The 8,049-nt window shown below is 37.0% G+C and overlaps 1 protein-coding gene and 1 long non-coding RNA gene across 7 annotated transcripts in view; one reads left to right on the forward strand and one right to left on the reverse strand.

The window, feature by feature from the left end:
* Positions 1–8,049, forward strand: part of LOC124906269 (uncharacterized) — a 277,601-nt gene that overhangs the window by 188,790 nt on the left and 80,762 nt on the right. The gene's annotated exons all lie outside the window — the stretch shown is intronic.
* The window catches only part of LSAMP (limbic system associated membrane protein), a 643,114-nt gene that overhangs the window by 177,517 nt on the left and 457,548 nt on the right, over positions 1–8,049 (reverse strand). The gene's annotated exons all lie outside the window — the stretch shown is intronic.

Genomic DNA, 8,049 nt, shown 5'->3' on the forward strand with positions numbered 1-8,049 from the left:
AGATTGAGATACTTTAGTGAGGCTTATAATTTTTCTGCTTAAAGGTGCCCTTTAATCATTAGCATAGTTCTTTACATAGTCTGTTAAGTTAAATTAACATACTTTTTGACTCTAAAGTCAACTTGTATTTGAACTTCCAGTAAGATTAGTACATGCAATTCACTGTAACTTTTTTAAAGTTACATTTATTATTAAAAAAATACTTAAGATACCCCATTGCATTCTGAGAGTTTAACCTAGAATTGGAAGAAGATATTTTAACATTCATGAAGTAAAATATTCTTTCAAGTTTTCAGACTATTAATCCCTTGTCAATTCATTTCCCTCTTAACAAATGATCAGTTAATTTAAACTGTAGATTTGTTACTTAGAGTTTCATAAAAATACTAAAGAAGATTGTAAGTTTTTTTGTTAAATTTAGCTGTTGATGTCTTCTCTTTATAATTTTGAAATTTTTCAGTTTCCAGAACTTCAAAATAGATACTATTTTCCAACTCCTCAATCTTTTTTCTGTGTAAAAGGAAAATAAGCCCTATGGTGATCTCTCAGTTTGGAGTTTTTGGTTTCTATTTGTTAGTGTAGAAAGAAAATAGTCTTAACTTCTACTTTGAGATTATAGATAGCAGAAAACAGTTCTATATTTATTTCCCCACATATTCCCTTTGGTTCTGGTTTTATACAAGTATAATGGGAAATACTGAAATACAGCAAGTTGACAATCCATTTTGGAACACTTAGATACCTTGAATAATTATTGAGATCTGTGGGTTATTACCTGTACTGAGTCTTTTGAGATTCATCCACTTCTATTTTCCATTTAAAGGGGACCTTGGTCCTATGACTTCAGAAAGGACAAGCCCCAAGGTCCCAGCTGTGTTCCCCTTTTATCTCCTAATCTAGTCATCTCACTTACCCCTAAGGTCATATATCTTTTGCTGTTCTCTGTTGCATGAAGTAGCCTTTATGCTTCAGAAAATTTAAAGGTCATTTTCCTTTCTTTGAAACCTCGCTATGTTTTTTTAACTTACAGTGTCAGTTTCAGTGAAAGGAAACGGAGAGGTGAATTGTCGTTTCACTGGTGATAACCAGAGCTTAGGGGAGTACTTCCACTAGTTGTTTTCAACCCTGGGTCACAATGCCAGTGTCCCAGACTGAGTTCCCTTCCCACTTAAACCTCATAAACTATAACCCAGCAATGACATGGCATTCATGGTGTGAAATGAATGTTGTTTCACAAGAAGTTGCTGCATCATGGAAAATACACTTAAAAAGAAAAAAGAAAGTAAGTTCAGCGATCAATCAGAGTGAAAATTTGGATAGGGCTAAAAGGTCCTGCCCTCCAAAGCTGAGTTCTCAGAAAGATGTCAGGAAACTAATACCCACTACACCTTTATAGTAAAATTATTTCTCAGTCAAGTCCTTAGATATTCATGTAAAGCTAGACCTTTTGCAATGAAAGCAACAGGTGTTGTGAATTCCTTTTTGTTGGTTTTGAGCTTCTGTTTTTTTCCCTATTGTTGACAGTATGATCTTTAAAAAAAAAACTGTATCTTTTGAAAGCTACAAAATACATTTTCCAATCCTCTTTAACCTTGTATTTTTTATAGAAATGCACTCTGATCTATTATTTTATAATCATATTACATACCTGAATGCTGCCTTTCATCCACTTTCTGACATCAGCAGGTTACTAGTCACATGAAATGAATACTGATTGGATGTGGATGGCATCTACTGGCCATGAATTCTGATTGGCTAGTTGCTCAGAAGCATGAAGGTCACTTGCTGAATTGTTTGTGCTTTAGTCAATATTGTCCCATGTTCTCTTGCAGACCTGATTTCTGAGAGCATTATTTAACAACAACAACAAAAAACAACCAAATCCGCACATCGGAATTCTAATCAAGGGCCCTTGTTTCCTTCCAGCCTCCAGCTATGAAAATTACATTATTCTTTTTATGCCACCTTCCTTTGAATGTTCTCACAAGAAAACCTTTACATAGTTATCTAAAGAAGCCCAATCCATGTGTGACTAGGTGTCTAAGGGTAAAAATGACAAGAGTCACTAACAATGGAAAAGTCTAACTTGGAGGTCCAAAGTGCACCCATCTTAATCTCTTGTATGCTTCTTGGTCAAAATGTTTTTCTTTACATAATTTAACATAAATGCCTCCACATTTTATTTATCTTTGAAGGAAGGAGGAAGTATAAAATAAAACTTAATCATCACTATCAATTCATTCTACGGATAGGGAAAGGATAAAGTTGAGACAGCCTAAGGCTTTCATAAGCGGTTATTGATGAATGAGAATAACACCTTTATACAACTGGTGGATGTTTGAGACTGAACTGTGTATGAAGGAGATATTTACAGGCAGAAAGTCAGGGATGGGTGGTGATTGCAAGAAATGTAGATGGCATGACTCCCGTTCCAGAGATAAGCTTGCCAAGTTCTCTACCTAGTTTAGTAACAGCTTCCAAATCATCTGGATGCCTATTAGTCCACACTGATTTTGAACTTAGTCTCATAAGATACAGATTCTTTATTTAAATATGTATTTACTTGTTTATTTTAAATAAAAAGGGGAAATCCTCAAATTGCCCAAGATTCTTCTGGTACAGAATTAATAAAACAGCTGAAGTAGGACCCAAGAGGTCCTCAGTGTCTCAATTTCCCATTTTCTACACTCTGTGACTAGTTTCTCAGGTTTTTAAAAACCTTTTCCTATGTTCCCTTTTCCCCTGTATTGTACATTCTCTCTCTTTTCTTTTCTTTCAGTCTCTGAGCCTCCATCCCCCATTCCTCCAGCCTCTCCAGTTACCAGTAGTGCTGATTGTATTTCTCCTCTTTCTCTTTTTATCTCCATCACTGTCTCAGCCAGGGCTTTTCAAGTACCTGAGATTTATTTTTATTTTTATTTTTAATCACTTCCTCTTTTTCTGTTTATCTGCCTGTCACTGTCTTTGCTTTTCTCAGCCTCCTCCCATGGGTGCACCGTTATCTCTTTTCTCCGTCTTAACCAATCATTGCCTATGGAGACTTTTTTTTTTTTTTTTTTAAATCCAGTCTAAGGCAAAGTATGAATAGCTTGCCAGAGAGGTCAGTTGAGATTCAATTTAAAAGTAATGCTATGGAAAATCCAACTTCCATATCTCACTCCTTCATTGCTGCCCCTGCCAATACCAAAATATAGCAACAATAACAACAACAAAAAACAAACACCAAGTTAAAAACTTGGCTTTCTGAGATGCAAAAAGGAAACTGAGTATGGGTCATCTGGGTCACTATAGGAAAATCTTAGCATTTGACATGGTATTTAGCCTTGTCTATAAATAAATTAATGGCCAGGCATGGTGGCTCATGCCTGTAATCTCAGCAGTTTGGGAGACTGAGCAGGGAGGATTGCTCAACACCCAGAGTTCAGGGCTAGCCTAAGCACTATAGACTTCATCTCTAAAAGAAAAAAATAATAATAAATTAAATTAGCCTGGTATGGTGGTGCACACCTGTAGTCCCAGCTACTTGAGGCTGAGGTGAGAGGATGGCTTGAGCCCAGGAGGTCCAGGCTGCAGCAAGCCATGATTGCACCACTGCCCTCCAGCCCAGACAACAGAATGAGAGCCTGTCTCAGAATAAAAATAATAGTAATAATAATAATTACTAAATTACAAAGTACATTCTAGTTTTTGGTTTTATGTTCCTCAGTATTAAGATTTCTGATAATCACACATTGAGCCAACAACTATTTACAGAAAGGTCTGCCTAAAAGGAAGATTTTCCAAAATAAGTAATTAACATCTAGTCAAAGAAAGAGCCATACAGAGGGGAGGGCAGAACACATGAGAGGACAGTGCCTAGTGGAAAACACAGATGATTAACACGATATGGCTCCTTACACTGGGGCCTGCAGAAAGGAGAACAGGCAAGAGATGAGTCTTCAGAGATAGGCAAGGGCAGAACCACAGAGTATTCTTGATGTTGGCACAAAAGTGGCAATGTTAACATTAAGAGACAATGGGAAACTATTGATGGCATTTACACAGAAATAGAGGTTGCAAATTTGTGCTATAGAACAATAATTTGACAGCACTATGGGAAATAAACTGAGGGAATGTTAGAGAGGAGGTAGGGTGACCAGTTAAGAGGCTCCTGCAGTACTCTAAATGAGACATAATACCAAGTTGGAAAAAAAAATCAAGAAATAAAAACAGTTCAAGAGATATTTAAGTCACAGCTTAGAATCAAGCTGGGTATGGGGAGCAAATAAATAGGAAGAGTCTGGGATGACACCCACACTTCTGGCTTGCCTGAATGGGGGTGCTATTCACAAAGAAAAAAAAAATCAGGAGTAAAAATGGATATGAATGGGAAACATGATCAATTCAAATTTTCTGCATATTAAAATCGTTTATTTTGGGAATTATAAATAGAGATTTCCTTCAAAGAGTTAGATATATGGGCCTTAAACTCAAGATATAGGTCTAGGCTAGATGTATGCTAAAATAAGAGCATCCAAGGAGAAAGAAAGAATCAGTGATTTTCTTCCATTTTATAGTTGCTAAACATTTACTGAGAGTCTACTATAGGTACAAAGTGTGAGGGATTTAGCTATGTGGTGAGAATAAAAAGAAGGAATGAATGATCCTTGTCAATTCACTTATCTAATCATTTATGGATTCAATGAATGTTTATCATATTACTAAAAATTAAACCGTATACTAATTAGTAAATAGCAGTACCTAGTATTAATATTAAGAATCCAGTTAGAAAGTAAGATTGATAAAGCCCTAATGATAATGGTAAGTAATTTCTAGTGTAGCTCCTTTGAGGGGTACACACTATAGTGCAGTAGACATAATTCATTGTAAAGACTGTTACAGTAAAGTTATGCATACATTGCAATGGTAAAATGAGTGAAAGGGTGACATCAGGGTTCTATATAGGTTTGAAGGGAGGACATGTAATCCTAGGTAAAATGATTGGCATGTACGAAACACAGAGGTGTAAGAGTGCTTCTTATATTCCATAGATGGTGAGCAGTCTTGTGATCAAAGCTTAGATTATGTATGGGGAACAGCTGGAAATGAAGCTGGAAATACAGGCTAGGGTCAGATTGTAAAGGGCCTTGTAAGAAGCAATAATAAGATAAACTTTGTCCTGAAGGTATCAGAGCCAAAAGGCTTTTATTTAGACTACTATGCTCAAACAGGTATTTTACAGAGGAAATTCTGGTCACTTTACAGAGGAAGGATTTATTGCAAGAAAGCCTGGAAATAAGAAACATTTAGGATAATTTAACATTTATTGTGATAGCTATTATTAAATATCCTAGCTAATAAAAAATCAGTACCAAAGCGTTGCTGGAACAAAAATACAAAATGGAATATTGGCTTAGTGGTTAATTAGTGAGCAAAGTGAAAGGTTGGTGGCCAGTTAAGAACTAGATACATGATCTATGATATGAAGCAGCAAAATATTTGGTAAAATTGTCACCTCTATTAACTTGTGAGTTAGGCTACATGCTTAACCGAGTAAGCAGATTGAAAAGAAGTTCAAAAACTTTGCATTTGCTACTATTGGCTGCCTGTGGAAAACAGCCTCAAAGATAATCCCCAGTGATTCTCGCCTCCTGATGCTCATACCTCGTACCCATGTTATCCTACAGTTGGTATGAGTGACCAATATCATATGGCATATCACTTTCAAGGTTAGGTCACAAAAGACTGTGGCTTTGGTTTTGGCTGTTGTTATGCTCACTCACTGGCTTTCACTGTTTTGGGATAACAGATGCCCAAGGAAACCCCATTATGAGAAGCCCTGGGGCTTTTCTACTGGAAGTCCCACATGGTGAGGAACTGAAGACCCTTGCCAACATCTACAACCATGTAGGTGAACTTGGAAGTAGACTCTCAGTGCCAGTCAGTTCTTCGCAGACTGTAGCCACAGCTGACGGTTTGGTTGCAATCTCATGAGACTCTGAGGCAGAGCCACCCAGCTAAACTGCTCCTGGCTTTCCAGCCCACAGAAATTGTGAGATAATAAATGTTTGTTGTTTCAAGCTGCTAACTTTTCGATCGATTTGTTACCCAACAATATATAACGAATACAACTGCTTTTGGAAGAGATGATCAAAGGAGAGAATTGCCAAGTTTGCAAGTAGAAAAAAAAGAAGAGTCCAAAAGTTTGGGGCTTTGAAGGGTTAAAAAAGCCAACTGCTTCTTGATCTCAAATGGTAACAGGTGGAATTTTAAAAGACTTAGAATGACAAAGGGCCAATGAAACCTCTTAGTTGATAAAAGAAACTTAGGGCAAGGACCATATTAAGGGTGGGGCTCAAGGTAGCTACAATTAGTTGGCTGGAGAAGGAATGTAGGGGTTAGAAAGCAAAAGAAATAAAACATGCTTGAGAGCTATTTGAGTTAACTGAGTTCAAAAGAACATTGAGCATAGTTAGCACGAGTTGCTGACTAGAAGCAAATAGATTAGAAGCCTACTAAAACACATTTCACCAGTATATCTTAGGGATACATATATCACCAAAAAAATAATGAGCCCAGACTAAGAAAGCCAGAATTTCTGGGAAAAACATATGCTTTTTGAATTTTTATTTAATTGAGAAATTGGCTGAAGAATTTGCTTTCTTTTTAAACCCTGGGCCACCACGAGAAGAATGTGAACTGAAAAAGTTGTGCAGCCCCTAAGGAAAGCATATTTCCAAATACCCACTTCAGATGTGATTAAGGAAATAGTAGGTGAGTGATCATCTCTACCCCTAGATGGCAGATCCAGGAGCCACTGGAAAAAAAAAGAGGGGGGTGGGGGCAGTGAGGAAGAACACAAAATCAGAAGCTCAGCAACAATCATATCTCACCACTAGGTGGGAGGAGGGAGTTTTCATAACACCCAGTGGAATTTTGGAATTGCTTTGGACCAATGACTAATGTTTCTCCCATTTATACCTTTTTCCCAGGGAGCCTCATTCCATTTCTCTTCTATCATTTTATATTAGGCATATATGTGATGAAGAGGGGAGGAGACAGATAGCTTATCCTTTTATTTCCTTAATTGCTGGACTAAGAGGAAAAATATCTGAACCTCATGAGCAAGGCTGTGTATTTTGGTAAGACTGTGGAACTGGAGGTGTCTGCAGTTACTGGGTTTTCTCCCTTAGGGAGAAGGGGACAGTATGCTATGTGAAAAAGGAAGTATATGGCTCTCTGGAGGTCAGAGCGCTGACTGCGACAGAAAAAAAATGTTTTGTATTTACCATACCTCATTTCATTTTCTTCTTCCTGATCACAAACAAGATCACATTTCTAAGCCTCCCCTGTGGTTAGTCTCTCCCATAAGAATGAGTTCTAGCCAGTGAATTGTGAGTGGAAGTGAAACATGTTTCTTCTGGTTGAGGAAGTTATGAGCTAGTGCCTTTCCTGTTCTTTCCCTCTTCCCCCTTCACAGTGACCTTGGAGGCCATGTTTTTCCAATGGCAGAGCTGCAAGTTAGAGAAGAATGATACATACAGGACTGCAATGTAAAGGAGGAATACACTTTTATTGTTTTAAACAATATTCGTTTAACCTTGTGTTATTGAGATTTCAGGAACTACAGTGGCAGCTGGGATTATCCCAATTAATTTAGATCCCTTTCCCTTCACTTCTCCACATTATATAAGAACAGTAAAATGTCTACTAAATAAGTAACACTGTTTAGGTCAACATCTTCAAAGTTTAGAAAACATTTATCAGATAGAATGTAGTTTTACAAGGTTTCATGTATAGAATGGTTTATGATGTGTGAATTCATGTATATGCTACCAGATGATTACGAATTAGGACTTATTGTATATACTGAATTCTGGACCACACATCCAAATTATACCTCTGATATAGGACCTTTAATGCAAGCATATTTTGCAGTCAGGAGAAAATTCTTGAATATAAGATTTGCTATTTAAAAATTGCATGGAATGACTTCCTATCATTTCACAGCTAAAGTTCTTCAAACTCTTCAAATTCATCCAGCAGGTCAGATTTCTTTCCTTCTAAGTT

The sequence above is a fragment of the Homo sapiens genome, chromosome 3 (genome assembly GCF_000001405.40).
Source record: "Homo sapiens chromosome 3, GRCh38.p14 Primary Assembly".
Lineage (NCBI taxonomy): Eukaryota > Metazoa > Chordata > Mammalia > Primates > Hominidae > Homo > Homo sapiens.